At 34.3% G+C, this 17,257-nt stretch overlaps 1 protein-coding gene across 14 annotated transcripts in view; it reads right to left on the reverse strand.

The window, feature by feature from the left end:
- DOCK7 (dedicator of cytokinesis 7) overlaps positions 1-17,257 on the reverse strand; it is a 233,661-nt gene that overhangs the window by 87,319 nt on the left and 129,085 nt on the right. For 8 of the 14 annotated variants that reach the window (XM_047432964.1, NM_001271999.2, NM_001330614.2 and 5 more), the window contains exons 20-25: positions 16,945-17,176; positions 13,781-13,945; positions 10,688-10,857; positions 2,903-2,995; positions 1,612-1,701; positions 564-659 (exon numbers count right to left, since the gene is read on the reverse strand). In XM_047432964.1, the coding sequence (XP_047288920.1) occupies positions 564-659; positions 1,612-1,701; positions 2,903-2,995; positions 10,688-10,857; positions 13,781-13,945; positions 16,945-17,176 (846 nt within the window). The remainder of the gene's footprint in view (positions 1-563; positions 660-1,611; positions 1,702-2,902; positions 2,996-10,687; positions 10,858-13,780; positions 13,946-16,944; positions 17,177-17,257) is intronic. The other 6 variants (XM_047432967.1, NM_001272001.2, NM_001272000.2 and 3 more) reach the window with 1 other exon arrangement.

The following is a 17,257-nucleotide window of genomic DNA, read 5'->3' on the forward strand; positions in this document are numbered from 1 at the left end:
AAAAAATTTTTTTGGTAGATATGGGCTCTTGCTATGTTGCCCAGGCTGGTCTCAAACTCCTGATCTCAAGTGATCCTCCTGCCTCGGCCTTCTAAAGTGCTGAGATTACAGGTGTGAGCCACTGCACCCAGCCAGTACTGTTGTTTTTTTATTGATTGTAACTGGCATTTCCCTAAGGGTTTACTAGCCATAACAATAGCAGTGGGTATCTATAAAGCTCTTTCCATCTTTGGTATAAAATCTACAATACTGTCATTATACACTTCATGTATAATGACTAGCAAAGAATGTATCACAAGTTTCCTTTGAAAATATAGCTAGCTTATGCAACCATCCCTGAGAAAATAAGAGTTAAAATGAGCCTCACTCTTAATTCCACCTAAACTGTGTTGAGTGTCCACAGTGTTTATTTAGAGATGTAACACATGTAATTTTGTCTTAGAGGCACATGGAAAAGCGTTAAGATGTGCAACAGAAAAAGATTTCTAAGGTAACAAATGAGCTAGCATAAAATTGTTCACTAAGAGAAAAAATATTAAAGAACATGCTCAGTTTTTGCTCACCATTAATTCAAAAAAGAACCAGGCTTGTTGCAAAGCTGATTCCCGAACGCTGCCACTGCAAACAACCCACTGCAAAGCCAGCTCCTCGTGAAAAAGCTATCCAGAAGTAAATCCAAAGTTATTATCAAAGTCAAATCTGCTGATAACATAAACCAAATCATAATGCAAATACAAACGAAGATATAATGAGAATAAGCAAAATAAGGCACGTGAACCATTCAATGATGCACTGAAGACACCCATTAACGAAACGGCTATTTATGTATGTAAGACAGTGGTATGTGGAACAGCTGAAAAAATTACATGTTATCTTGCAGTAAAATGTAATTTTAAAAGGACAGGTAGAAGATAGCCTCCTAAATTGTACCTGCAAACAGAAACTAGACTAAAAACTTATAGTACAGTAATATTTTGTTTGTATCTTAAGTACATTTTTAAACATACGCAAATACATGCATGAACTTTGCTGGTACAATTTAGGAAATACATTTTAAAATTTAAACTTTGCTATGAGCCATTAATTTTCAAGTTTTCAGGTAAGGTCTTTTTAAAAAAAAATAGCAGAAGATTTCTGCCTTATAATGGATATGCATACAAAGCATTTGCAAAGTAGTGTATATTAATATGAAAAAGGACTAACAAAACTGTGCATAAGGGAAGCAAATCAACATATCTTACTAAGAGTGACAATTTTTCTAACTCATCTTCCTTTCCCTGGAGATTTAAAACACAAAACAGAAGCAGTTACAGAAACAGAATTAAGAGTTGATACATTTTTTTGGTACTAAAATTTGATGATCAAATTTGAATTCACTAAATCCTAAAAATAGTCAATCCCAAAGATATAAACATTATCATAATGTAAAAAAGTATACATTGACAAGATATGCCCCAAAAGGCATCAGACAAGCAATGCTTGTTCAGATATATTTTTAAGCACAATGCAATTACTGTAAGTATCTCATACTGGTTATGTAAAGAAATCTTACATCTATTTAATTGGTGAAATTATTTTCCCCCTCTATGAATTGTCTTCATATGAATCTACCTTTTTAGTTGGTAAGCGTCCCGTTAATGTTTGTAAGAAACTTGACGTCTCTGTGTGCGAAGACATACGATTACAACTTCGATCCATAGCCTATGGAGTGAAGATGAATGAATGACGAGATAACATTAACGTTTGCAGTGGATGACTTTGCAGCTGATGGATTATGTACAAGTTTAAAACAGAGTTTTATTATGGTTTCAAAAACCATCTATTTTATTGCTCATCTCATTTTCACCATGTTAAGCTGCTTTAATGACAATGCATAAGTAGTATCAAAATGGCTTCTATATATTTTTGGTCTTTAAAAAATGATGAGTATTTCAGTGATTATATAATATTCAGAGTGTTGCAAAGAATGAAACTTTTATCTGTGTGATCTATATACATGCACATATCTAGTAAAAATATATAAAAAGTAAAAACATACTTCTCAACTGGTCTCAGACCAAAAAAGAAATCAGTAACTTTATATTAAAGAAAAGAAAAAGTTTAGAATAATTTCTTTCACTTTTTCATTATTATCAAAAACTACTATTCAGGTTTGTCATATACTAAATCAAATATAAATCATTTACAATATTAGAAATGGAATTAAAAATTTTATTTAGGAACAGGATTTCCCTCCAAAGCCAACACAGATGAGAAGTATATTTTGAGATATCATGCAGTATTAGCTATCAAGCAACTAGTCTTAAGTAAGCAAAACCTAATTCAGCTAAGGTATAACAAATTTCATACTTTGCAACACAGTACAAATTAAAATGGATTTTTGCTTCTGGTATTGAGTCTTATAGCACGGGGATCATATACTGTTCACATTCAATTTCAACTTATTGCCAGTCTTTCTATTCGGTGATTAGGAAGAAAATAACAAGATAGTAAATGTTAAATGAAAATGATACAATAGTTACACTTTAAACCAAAAGCAAATAGAAAACTGTTGGGTTTTTTCCTCCACGTAAAAAATTTAAAAATTGCTATTAAAGACGTGCTACCCCTAAAGAAGAAACTGTTATAAAAGCCATCAATTGCATAAGCAGCAGGCACTGAAATATTGATAGGGTGTGTAAGGAAGAAAGAAGACAGAGATAGGAAATAGGAAAGAAGAACATTACTGGTGCAATTGGTGGTACTCATGCATAGTAGTTGGAAAATGTGCTAAGTAAACAAAAATACACACTTTTTAATGATTAAAAAAAGCAAGCCACTGAAATCATAGTATATACTAAAAAGTAATGTTCTAAAGGGAAACATCAGCAGCCAATAAAGAAACCTCTAATATAAACACCACCTGTGTTGATTCTGCACTTGGACTGGGGTTGGATCCCCATGGGGCAGCTTTTGGACCACCAGTGTTAACCCAGGAATTGGAGCGATCTAAACCCTAAGCATATAATAGAAAGCAGTTTGAAAGGAAAGAAATATTACATGTTGCATGCTATAAATTATTCTTAAAGAAATTCAGATCTTCTAATGCAAACATGTTTTTAATTAGTACTGTTAAAGCAACCAAAATTTGTAGGCACCTATAGAGTATTAGTTCATCAAAATTATCTTATTATATAACACAATTTTAAAAAAAATCACCAAGACCATTAAGTATAGTATTTAAAGGTAATTTTTCTTTATGTAAAGGAATACTCTTGAAGTACCAATAACTAATGTTCCCACAGCACCACACCCCCAAACTTTCTTTAAAGATAGTACAAGTTAGCAACAGGTAATTTCCTCTGTATCTAACTGAGGTTTAAAGGAAAAAATGGAAGAAAAACACTCCATTCTTTGTTATAAACTTTAATTTCATTCCATCTCTCATCAACTGAAAACTACTATGCAGTGATACCCCATAATTCTATTTGAGCTTGCTACCACCTTCACTCTCTTTTAGGGACAGACAGGAGAAATAAAGTAAAAACTTAAGAAAAAAATGATACCTAATATTTACTCCTTCCTAATAATGGATTTGGAGCTGCACTTATAATAATAATGGGCTACTATTTATTAATAAATATTATAAGGAAAAACATTATGCTGGGGCTGTTTATAGGAATTATATCTTCATCATCATCTTCATTAATTTAAAATTTCTTTAAAACGCTACTAAAGTATATGTCCAGAAGTTAATTTATGTTTATCTCTGTCTGAAAGGGGTTACTGTGATTCCAGGTGAAGGAAACAGAGGCTTTTCTTCTATTTCCTAAAACTGACTGTTGGTCAGAATCAATTGAGAAGCTTTATAAAATTCAGATCCTGGGCTCTATCTCTATAAATTCGATTCAGTAATTTGGACTGGGGACTTGAGAATCTAATAATTGGAACTGGAGCAAGTTGTAAAAGATTTTTAAAGAATTATTAGGGTAAGAATAGCAAAGACAATCGAAGACAAGCTGATGTAAACATATCAGGACATGAGTACAGACCCAAACCAGAAACCACCAAAGGAAAGACAGGTAAAAGTGAAGAGTTGGAACAACTGTAATCAACTCTGTCTAGATATTAGTGTCATTTGGGAAGCTTAACAACAACAGTAACTAACAAATGTGCAGCGCCCTACCTTAAAACAATTAAATCAGAATTGCTGTGAGTGCGGCCCAGACATCAGTATTTTTTAAATACTTCAAGAGAAAATTTTAAAAAGAAAAGAAAGAAAAACCGCAACCCTCAAGGGCTTAGGTTTCAGGAGAATATTTCCTCCACCTTTTTTCATTTTTTCCCAAATATATAGAGAAATTGAAATGGTGGTAAAATAATCACCCATTTCTAATCATTTTTGACAGTGACTGTCTAATATGGGAGTTAAGGTTCCAATCCAGGCTCTCCTGCTTACTAGCTGTAAAATCTAAGATAAATTACTTAATTTCTTTTTCAGTTTCTTAACTATAAAATAAAAATGATGAGAGTGTCTCCCTTCACATGGTAAGAATCAAATTAAATAATGGAAGTAAATTACTAAGTTCAATGCCTTGAATATAGTAAACTCTCAAAAACAGCTTTATAAAAATTTCCCATACATATTTTTCTTAAAATGCTTTCTATCAAAGTAAATTAGACAATATCAAAATACTAGTAAGATTATGCAATCAGATTTGTTTAAAATAAAATATCTGCCTTCTCAGAATCCCATTACAATATTTCGAATAAAAGCAAACCAAAAGGCTTATGTTTTTCATAGAAGTTAAAATAAAGTTCTCATTAGTCTCCAAAATTATGTCCAAGCCCAAAATTATGTCTTTTTTGTATAAAAGTGTAAAGTTCTTCCTACCATATTCAATTTTTACAGTCACTACTCATGTTACAAAAATAACAAAACATGAGCATTTGATTTTTGCAAAATTATAACTGTCCTCTTTTCTCTCATGAATTTCCACAAAAAGAATAAGAACTTTGCTGTACTCTTAAATTTACTTAACTTACTGTTTAATAATTTCCTTTAAAACTACAATATATGATAATCGCTAATATGAGAATAAAAAAATCTCTTTGTGCTATGAATTATATTTATATACACAATACTGATGTTCTGAACAGTTGTAATTACACTAGTCAAAGCTAACTATTTAAAGAAAACTTGTGGCCAGTTATTTGGCAAAGCAAGTAAATTCCATAATTCAGGTGTTATAAAGCTAAGAGTTATATCAAACAGCCCACATTTAAGCAAACTCATCACTTATATTTAATATAATAACTTTATGTTTACCAATTTCCAACAAACATGGAACAGATTAACCAAATGTGTGCCCACGTGTATGTAAGTGTGAGGTTTTTTTTGCCAAATCCCAGTAACACTATTGATTTCTTCCCTTACATATAGATAAGATCCTTGAGCAAGGCCCATACTGTATTTGATGTGACATCAACACTTGTGTTATATTACAAAGATTTTACTTCATATCCACAAGTCCTCAGCATAGTGCCTAGCACACAGTAAGCTCTCAGTGTTTGAGAAATTAAAAAAAGATGATATATGAGAAAGAAACGTATCAGTGCAAAATTCCACTGGCATTTGATAAAAAGCAATAAAGTTCAGACCTGATGTAACCATGTATTTACATAACTGAATGTTAAAAGACGATTACTAGAATTAAGAAAGCACAGCTAGTTTTGGCAATATAAGTATGAAGAAGTCTCACAAATATTTTCACATTTACATTACAGCCACTGGAGTAATAAAAGCCTGTTCAGGTTATATAAATATTCTTAAATTTTAGGAGTTCTGTATTTTATACTGGGGAATAAAATATAACCAAAACTTTCATAAAGTCAAATCTCTGCAGACCTTTAAATACATAATTAATCCCAATAGTAAGAGGGCAAACAAAAGCATAATTCTGTTCTTAAACAAGTGATCTAGTCCTGCGGTGTTAACTCATACTAACATTTCTTCATTGGATAAATATCTACTGAGCACCTTGAATAAGTTAGACATTACAGGTGCCTTGGAACAAATATTCCCTGCCACAATGAAGCTTACACTCTGTTAAAGGGAGATAAACACTAAAAAAAAATCAACATAAGAATAATTAATTCATATGCTACATTAAAAGGTAGTAAATGTCAGACAAAAAAAAAAAGACAAAAAACAGAATAACAGGATTAGAAGGCTGAGGACACAGCCACTGGTTATACATTTAAATAAGATAATCAGAGTCAACCTCACTGAGAAGGCGGCCTTCAGAGTAAAGACTTAAAGGACTGAGAGAATAAGCCATTAGAAGATTGTGCTCAGAGGAATGACATAATGACTTAATTTTTGTGTGTGTCTTAAGTCTTTTTTTTTTTTTTTGAGACAGAGTCTAGCTCTGTTGCCCAGGCTGGAGTGCAATGGCGCGATCTTGGCTCACCACAACCTCCGCCTCCTGGGTTCAAGTGATTCTCCTGCCTCAGCCTCCTGAGTAGCTAGGATTACAGGCATGCACCACCACACCCAGCTAATTTTTCTATTTTTAGTAGAGACGGGGTTTCTCCATGTTGGTCAGGCTGGTCTCGAACTCCCAACCTCAGGTGATCCACCTGCCTCAGCCTCCCAAACTGCTGGGATTATGGGCGTGAGCCACCACGCCCAGCCATGTCTTAAGTCTTTAAAGCAACATTCTGGTTGCTATGTTGTGAACAGAGCACAGGGTAGAAGTAGGGAAACCATCTTTAAAACTAGTACATTAGTTCTGGGAGAGATGATGGTTGCTCAGACCAAGATGGTAGCAATGGAGATGGAAAGAAGTGTCTCTACCTTTCATATATATCCAAATCTGAACAAAACTATTTAGAAAAAGCAGTTAAGTTTAGAACTCCAGAGAGAGATCTGTACTGGAAATATAATTTTGGGAATCATTAGCATAACATTTACGTGGTATTTAAAGCCATGGAACCTGATAAGCTGACCAAGGTAGAGTGTAGAGAGAAGACAAGAGAAGAGAAATAAGGACAGAGGCCTGAAACACATCCAGATAAAGAGATCAGAAAAGGAAGAATCCACAAAGACTGAAAAGGTATAATCAGTAAACCAAGAGGGAAACTAACAGAATGTAGTACCCTGGAAGCCAAATAAATGAATAAATCACAGAGGAAAAAAAAATTTAACTGTGTGAAAAGCTGCTGGTAGGTAAAAGTAAGCCGAGTTCTGAAAATTAACCACTGGATTTAGCAACATGAAGGGTGCTGGTGACACTAACAAGGACAGTTTTGGTGGAAAATGGGAGGAATATTTGACTGAAGTAGAGATGATAGAAGTAAAAGAACTGCAGATAGCAAGTAAAGAAAATTCTTAAGGAATTCTACTATGAAAGGTAGCACAGAAATAGCAAGTAAGGTAGCAGTTGAAATACTAGAGAATAATTACTATAATTTTTATTTTTATTTAATTTTGTGGGTACATAGTAGACATATGTATTTATGGTTTACATGAAATATTTTGATAAAGATGTATCATGTGTACTAATCACATCAGGATGAGTGGGGTATCCATCACCCCAAGCATTTATCCTTTGTGATACAAAGAATCAAATTATATATACACTTCTAGTTATTTTTAAATAACTAAATAATAAACAGTATTTACCTATTTAATTATACAAATCACCCTGTTGTGCTATCAAATACTAGATCTTATGCACTCTTTCTAATTATTTTTCTGTACCCATTAACTATCTCCATTTCCCTCCTAACACCCACTGCCCCTTCCCAGTCTTTGGTAACTATCATTCTACTCTCCATCTCCATGAGTTCAGTTGTTTTAGTTTTTACCTTCTACAAATAAGTGAGAACATGTGAAGCTTGTCTTTCTGTGCCTGGTTTATTTCACTTAATATGATGATCTCCACTTCCATCCTTGTTGCAAATGACAGGATCTCATTCTTTTTTATGGGTGAATGGTATGCCATTGTATATATGTACCACATTTTGTTTATCCAGTCATCTGTTGATGGACACTTAGATTGCTTTCAAATGAGAGGAATCATTTTTTTCAAAATGAGAAAAACAATAGCATGCCTATATGTGAATGGGAATGATTCAGTATTTAGGGAGAAACTGATGATGTGGAAGAGATATGGAAAAACTGGTGGAGTGTAGATCTTGAGCAGGTGAGACCAGATGAGAGCTTGAGTGAAAGAAATTAATTTAGAAAAATAAATAGCTCATCTATTCATTTTTAATACAGAAGAGTATTAGGCAGTAGATAGTAGATGGTAATAGGTAGCTAGATAGCATGGTAAAAGTTTATCAAAGTCTTCTTCTGATGGTTTCAGTTGTCTCAATGAAATGGGAGATAAAATGAGAAAAGGAATGAGGGGAGAGGTGTTAGGAGGTTTGAGGTAATGAAAGAAGGAATTAAATCATTTCCTGGGAGAACAGGAAAGTGATGGAGATACAGAAATACAGTATAATTGCCCAATAGCATTAAGGGCTCTCTTGAGGTTTATTTCAAATGAGATCAATCACCATGGTATTTCTCAAGACATGTTTAGCTGCACAGATGCTGACATGGCACAGGCAGTCAATTGGGTTTAACTATGGTTTCAAGGTTTGGGAAAGATAAGGGAACTGAGGTTTGATTATAATGGGAGTAATTTTTTTTTTTTTTTTCTGAAATAGAGTTTCACTCTTGTCTCACAGGCTGGAGTGCAATGGTGAGATCTCGGCTCCCTGCAACCTCCGCCTCCCAGGTTCAAGCGATTCACCTATCTCAGCCTCCAGAGTAGCTGGGATTACAGGCATCTGCCGCCGTGCCTGGCTAATTTTTGTATTTTTAGTAGAGGCGAGGTTTCACCATGTTGGCCAGGCTGGTTTTGAACTCCTGACCTCAGGTGATCTGCCCGCCTCAGCCTCCTGAAGTGCTGGGATTACAGGCATGAGCCACCATACCCAGCCTGATGGGAATAATTATAATGATTGCCCACAGACATTAAGCTGGCTAAGGAAGAAGAGAGAACATTAAGGGGGTGAGACACAGTAAAAAGGTTGGAGGATCAAGATTAGAGATTGCAAAGGAGTAGATAAACTAAGTTGAGGTACTACAAGAAAAACAGGAGATAACAGAGAACAAAATACATGAAATTGAGATTGTGAAAATTAAAGTTATTGGTAATGACAAGATTGCAGGGGTGTCCAATCTTTTGGCTTCCCTGGGCCATACTGGAAGAAGAATTGTCTTGGGCCACACATAAAATACACTAACATTAATGACAGCTGATGAACTTACAAAAAAAAAAAAAAATCCCTGAACAAACTCATAATGTTTTAAGAAAGTTTACAAATTTGTGCTGAGCTGCACTCAAAGCTGTCCTGGGCCACATGTGGCCTGCAAGCCACAGGTTGAACAAGTGTGATATAAGGGAAGACCATGACTGAGGTGGAGTGGAAAACAAGATCACCTGAAGAAGAGTTTCTTGAACTGCCAGGTCAATAAAATAAGAAAAAATGAAGGGTAGCTATAAATAAACTTTAGATTCCTTATAATTTTGAGATAAAATTATATACATTATTAGTGATTACAACTAAACTCAATAGGAAGGTAGCTATCAAAAATTTTGCAATAAAAAGAAAACAACATAAAAACTATGTAAATAATACTTGATTAGGACAAGGCTGACAAATTCTCATCTTGCAATGGCTTTCTAAGAAACTACCTTGTATTTATATATTTGTATATATTTTTATATATATTTTAAAAATCATTGATCCATTTAAAGTACATCTTGAAAAAAGGCAAAAAATCATTACATATATATATAGGCCTCTTTGTTCTAAATCTTGAGTTTATAATCTATCAAACCTAAAAGAAATAAATAGAATTATGCTAAATGAGTCTTAATGTAAATCTTACAAAAATTAAGAGACATTTTAAAAGAACCTTAAGGAAATGCTGTCTATAGCTTCTTTTCTTTAGGAAAGTTTCTGAAAATCCAAAAATCAAACTTATTCTACTGAAGACCTATGCAGTATATAAATATACAGTATATAAATAATGCTACGTACTACCTGTATTACAATAAAATATAATCAATAATGAAAACAGGAATAAAAAACCTGAGTTCTTTTCTTAAACATGGAAATAAATGTGTGTGGGGGGTGGGGGAAGCGTTCTCTTTTCGCAGCTGCCATAGTACTCAGGTTACTCTGCAGTATCCCTTATAAATAACTCTGAGTATCACTCTTTCTAGTTTACAAAAATGGAAAATTGTTTAATCACTCTTCTGGATATTTTTTGGAGAAGAGGATCTCATGACTTGAATCAATGATGACATCTCTCTTCTACATATCAGTCACAGATTTATTTTAATTCTATATGAAATCAATCTAGCCATTTTTCACATGATGGAGTATCAGACTGACAACAATAAGTTATATGCAACTAGTGATTCCAGACAAATTTTAGAATTTTTAGTGGAGTAGTTTGTAAGAGCAAGCATATTTAACAGAAAAATAAAACAGTGTTTACTGATAGAACAGAAATGTACAATTCCTTCCTAATTCCTAACTTACATACATCTCAAAATTCAGAATACATTACAACAACTGGATATTTCTCGTTTGTTCACAAAACAAAAACCAAATTTACAGATGCATGTCTTCAGTTTACCTTACTCCCGATGATTGATCGAACTTCATCATCTGGTGACGTGGGAGTCCCAGATATATCTGGATTGCTATTACTAAGGCTTCGAGAACGATTTAAATTAAGGCTTGCAGGTCTCACCGCAGATCTAGCCATTGTGGCATAATGCACTGATCCTCCCAAACCCCCAGGACCTAGAGTTGTATATGAAATAGCACATAATTAAAGAAAATTAGTCAGGAAAGGATCTGAAAAAAAATCTCTGCCACTTTAGAAAATTCCACAAAGATCATGAATTGCTTTGGTTTCTAAATAAAAAATATACTTTTTTTTTTTTTTTTTTTTTGAGACAGAGTCTCTCTCTGTTGCCAGGCTGGAGTGCAGTGGCTTGATCTTGGCTCACTGCAACCTCTGCCTCCCGGGTTCAAGCAATTCTCCTGCCTCAGCCTCCCGAGTAGCTGGGACTACAGGTGCGTGCCACCACGCCCGGCTAATTTTTGTATTTTTAGTAGAGATGAAGTTTCACCATGTTGGCCAGGCTGGTCTCAATCTCTTGACCTTGCGATCCGCCTGAAGAGGCAGGGTCTTCTAAATAAAAAGTATTTTATATATATATATATATATATATATATATATATATATATATATTTTTTTTTTTTTTTTTTTTTTTTTTTTTTTAATAGGCAGGTGCCATTTTTTTTTTTATTAAGAGGCAGCACTGGAGTGCAGCAGTGAGACCATAGTTCACTATAATCTTGGACTCCTGGACTCCCACCTCAGCCTCCTGAGTAGCTAGGACTACAGGCACACACCACCATGCCCGGGTAAATTTCTCTCTCTTTTTTTTGTAGAGACGGGGTCTTGCTATGTTGCCCAGGCTGGTTTTGAACTCCTGGCCTCAAGCAATCCTCCTCTCTTGGCCTCCTTGAAGCACTGGGAAATGTTTTTTTTAGAAAGAAAGAAAATAAAAACACTCAAGAACTAATGATTGCTGTACAAAGATACTCTATTTTACAGCAGTTTATAAAACCATATGAACTATAAATAAAATCATTATCTCTTCAGTATTTCTATAATTGTATATTACACATACAATAAAAACCAAAATAGGAAACACACACACACAGACGTGTGCGTGCGTGCGCGCACACACACACACACGCACACGCAGCCCTTTCACTTCGGTATAGTTGGTATTTCGGACCCAAGATGCTCCAGCTGGTGTCTCTTCCTTTTTTCCCACCTCTCCTACTCTGCCCCTTGACAGTCACTAGAGAGAGTGCCAATTTATTGCTAACATCTCTTAAATTAAACCGTGTTTTATTTCTCTACCTTCATTACTGCTAACATCTTTTAAATGAGAGCATGTTTCATTTCTCTATCTTCATCAGTGACAATGTGAATAACAAAATAGTATCTTTATGATATACATACAAAAAACTAAAGATAATTTTCAGATCCAAAGTGATAAAAAAGCAAAGGCGGCTGGGCGTGGTGGCTCACGCCTATAATCCCAGCACTTTGGGAGGCCAAGGCAGGCGGACCACGAGTTCAGGAGACTGAGACCATCCTGGCTAACACAGTGAAACCCCGTCTCTACTAAAAATACAAAAAATTAGCTGGGCGTGGTGGCAGGCACCTGTAGTCCCAGCTACCCGAGAGGCTGAGGCAGGAGAATGGCGTGAACCCGGGAAGCGGAGCTTGCAGTGAGCCAATATTGCGCCATTGCACTCCAGCCTGGGCAACAGAGTGAGACTCCATCTCAAAAAAAAAAAAAAAAAAAAAAAAAAAAGCAATGCCTCCCTTTTTGCCTGACTAAAATCAAGCCTAACATCATCTTCCAACCTGTCTTTTATTTTTAAAATAAAACATCCAGGAATTATAGTGTTAATTTATCTTCATCTTTCCGAATGTCATATTTGCAAATGATATTAATACATACCTGTTGCCTAATTAATTCATACAATCTTTCAGGTCAGCATGTAAAAAAAAGATGCTTTGCAAAATCTGTGGAATTCTAATAGTGTACTGAATAAAACAGTAAATGGAGGAGCACTGTAGATATTACATAATCACTCACACATTCATGTCCTCAAGTGGTATAATTTTAAAAATTAACATAGGAAATTATAAACCAGAATATAAATGTCAATTGCTTTTCTTTTTGCAATTAAGTAAAGAAATAAATTGGGCTAAAATTTAAAATCAGGTTACTATTATGTCTAGTGTTCATAACGAACGTCACAATTATTAGTCACCGTTATCAATGTCAACATTGCCAAAAGCTGATAAAAGGCACTTGCCATTATCATTAATGTCATACAGACATGTATGTGAGTAGGTTAAATGATACGCACAACATAATCATTAGTTAGTTAAATGAACAACCAAAGGATTATTCACACTAAGACATCTCCCACCGTTACCTCCACTATCACCAGTGGTACACAAAAGACAATAACAAGTCGAGTCTCCAGTACTCAGAAAGGTTATATTATTTCACTGACCACGAAGAGATCAGAACTTTCCTAGAGAACAATCTTCTATATCACTGTAGGTTTCAAAGGGTTTTCAGGAAACTACCGAGCCACCACATTTCTCCTTTAATGCCCAACAGCACTCTGAATGACAAATACAAGATTCTATTTTTCTTGTCTTTTTTATGTTTAAAAGACAGGATCTCACTCTGTTGCCCAGGCTGGAGTGCACTGGCAAGATCATAGCTCACTCTGGCCTCAAATTCCTGGGCTCATGAGATCCTCCCACCTCAGCCTCCTAAACAGCTGGGATTACAGGGGCAAGCAATTCCTTATCTTAACAAGGAATGATAAAATGCTTCCAGAGACAAAGTTATTTTCAAAGCTCATTTCCAAAAATTAACTCAACCAAGAACTCTAATTCAAACTAAAGCAAACTGTATAAAAAAAGATGTCTAAAAATGTAACTTATTTATCTCTTTAACTTCAGCACCTAGCACAGTGAATGGTACTTAGCAGGTGTTCAATAAATGTTTGCCTTTGAATAAATGGATCACAGTATGGACTACAAAATTATCTCAATACTGACATGAACATATAATTTATGAAAGACAGCTTCATAGTAAAAAGAATAAAATACCTGGTGATGATGAATTAGGGTAAGTATTTGGTAGGCGGAAAACATAATGAATATATGATGCAAGAAGGCTGTTTCTGCCATGCTGGTCATGATTTCCTTCCAAGTTTTTGTGAAGTCGATTTATAATTGATGCCATGGCTTCAAAAGATGCTTGACCTAGGTTAACTTTTAAGAAAGAAGAAGTATTTACCTTTGCTTTAACTTTTTTTAGACTGTAAATTCCACGAAGATCAACATTTTGTCATCTTTGCATACTTTAAGTATAGTGACTACACAGTAAGTGTATAAAGATGATTACTATTTGATATTGACTTTTAATTACACGTTGCATTAGCTGAGCCAAAAATACTTTTCTGAACAAAATGAGAACTCATTTTACTAATTTAAGATGAAAATTATATGGGTTTGATTAGTCAAAAAAGAAAACAATGCTCAACGGATATGTTATTTAGTAAAACAATACAAAGTACATAAGAAAAAAGAAAATACATCGTGTGTAATACCTTAAGAAGCAATTTTTCATTTTAAAGATTACTCCAAAAATCTAAATAGCATATAAGGGCATATATTACTTTTGTTTAAAAAAATTAAAAATATCAATAATAAAAGAGATTATTGAAAATAATAACAGTATAATAAGAAAATAGTGAATAAGCAACTTGATTGGAATGAGTGAATCTGTAAAATGATTAGAAGGAAAAAAAAAAAAAGAGGGGGCTAGAAAAACAGGTTGAGGTAAGACTACAGCATTTTAAATCCCAGGCTAAGCAATACCTACTCGGTCACTCAAGTCAGTATGTAACAATAATTTTACAAAAATTGGAGAATTGTGATAAATTGCACACTGCATAAATGGGTAAACTGAACAGCCACTTTGAGCAATAGGATCTTAGATTCTATAATTTATTTAACCAAGACAGGAAATTATGAAGAGATAATGAGGCCAATTAAGTTTTCCCAAAAGTAGAATAATCAGATAAAATGGTCATTTAGGAAGATTAATCTATATATACTGAACTAGAGGGGAAAGAGACCAGAGACAGAAACCTGAGCGAAGTTAAGCGATCCTACCTGTGTTTCTGGTTAATCCTTTTCCTTTTTCTTACAGTAGCTACTCCAAGTTACAAGAATCCTTCTCAAAACTAAGGTCCTCCTTAATTCCTCCTTAGCAAATCTTGCCTTCTACCTCACAGAAGAAATGTATAAAGCATGAAAGTTCTCATGTTTTTCTTTTTCTTTTCTTTTTTTTTTTTTTTTAAGAGATGGGGTCTTGCTATGTTGACCAGGCTGGTCTGGAACTCCTAGCTTCAGGCAGTCCTCCCATCTTGGCCTCCCAAAGTGCTGGGATTATAGTTGTGAGCTACCACACCTGGCCAAAAGTCCTCATCTTTTTCTACAAATTTATCAGAATCTGAAATTACTTTATCTCCTCTCCAAAGGAAGTAGTGCCCTCTCCTATGTAAGAGTGATCTATCTATCACCTTTACTCTTGTCTCCCAGAATTGCTTCATTAATTAACCTCTTTTCTCCCCATGTATTTTTCTCCCTTCTCCCATTTGAGCATGTTTAGATGCTGATTTCTCTCAGCACATAAACATGCTAAAATGTCTCCACTCTTTTGCCCTACTCAACCCTGCTTTCTCTTCTAACTTAACTTCTTAAATAGTAGTATAGCTTCTTGTATTTATTTTATCATCTATTTGCTTCTTAATTCCCTGTAATCTGGCTTCTACCTTCACTTAGACTAAAATTACTGATGTAATTTCACGAGTAGACATTTCTCAAGCATACTAGATAAGAGAGAGAGGGACTCTGGAACCAGTTTGAATCTTGGCTCTCAAATATAAATAAAGCACATAGCATTATTCCTGGTACACAGTAAATGCTATGCAAGTGTTTGCAATTACTGTTATTACTATTATTTTACTTATATAATCTATAACAAAGAACAATGCTAACCTTTTTTTCCTTAAAACCTTCTTCTATAATTTCTGTAACTGTACACTCTGTGATCTCACAATCCATTCTCTCTTCTCCATCCCATTGTCACCCATGTTTTAACAGGAACTCATCATTTTTTGTATGAAATTCTGCAAGACTCCTAATTTGTCTCCCTGCCTGTAGGTTTTCCCACTTTTAAGTCATCTCTACATAGCATAGCCATCTTTTTCTAGTCAAACTTGGTCATGTTACTTCTCTAATTAAGACCAGATTCTTCAAAGGCTATTTATTCCCTACAGAAAAAGTCCCAATTTCCTAAAGTGTGGAAGACCCAACTTCATCTCCCACTCTCCATATTACCTCTAATCAATCCTCTAATTTATAACTAATTACTTAAAATTCCTCCCCCAAATTCATTCTGAGTTCATTATGTCTGTGTACTATGTACATGCTGTTTCATGCTGTTTAATCTCCTTGGAATAATATTTACCTGTCAGACTCCTATTCATCTTTAAATACTCAACCCAGGAATTATTTCTACTTATAAATCTCCCCTAAAAAAACTCAAATAATTGAATACTCCTCTCCTTTGTGTCACTAGTCAAACATAAAAATTATATCTGGTTAGCTGAAATTTCTTTCAAGTTCAACTTCCCTGCAGGATTTGGGTGAAAGCTGTTGGTAAAAAAATAAGGAGTAAACCTTGAAAAACGATGGGAATGAAGAACACCTTTCCTTCCAGAATTATAGAAAATAAAAAGAGAAAACAGAGACTAAGAAAATGAAGGAAAGAAGAGCTACATTAAGCGGAGGATAGCAGATGAATGAAAATGTAGAGTAGGTAGATTATACATCCTGTAAAATACAACATGATTTACCTGTTTGCCTGTTTTCTTAACTAGTCTGTGAGATGTTAAAGTCAGGAACCATGCCCTGAACAGTGCCTATCAGTGTCAGGTACATAGTAAGTGCTTAATAAATATTTGGTAAATAAATAAATAAATTTGTTTCTATAATTTCAGTATATGCCTATAGAACACATTTTATAAAAACAAAATAAAAGTTATTTTCTGGCATTATAAACAAGTAAATAACATCTTCCACCCCAAATCAAATATAGTCCTTATATATAGCAAATAGAAATCATGTTTTTTTTTTTTAACAAAATTTAGAAATGTCAAGTTATAAATTTCACGTCTCATCCCCAAACAAAAGTAAATTACCTATTTGGCCAGCAATGACAGGAGGTCTAATAACTAAAAGTATCAGTTTATCTAGCAGAAGATGAAGAAATCGGACCACTGGTTCCAGCTGGGATGAATTCAGTGCTGAAATACTGCTCTTCAATTCATTTTCTAAGTTATTTTCCATGATTCGCATGTCCCCAATTCGGACTGGGAACAGGTGTTCATCCAGAGCATTGACCAGAGCAAAAAATTTGTCAAGATAAGGATCCTAAAACAAAGAATAAACAAAAGCACTAAGCACTTATAACTTTATAAATTTCCCACTTCTAAAGGACCACGGACCACAAAC

The sequence above is a fragment of the Homo sapiens genome, chromosome 1, assembly GCF_000001405.40.
Source record: "Homo sapiens chromosome 1, GRCh38.p14 Primary Assembly".
In the NCBI taxonomy this organism is placed as follows: Eukaryota; Metazoa; Chordata; class Mammalia; order Primates; family Hominidae; genus Homo; species Homo sapiens.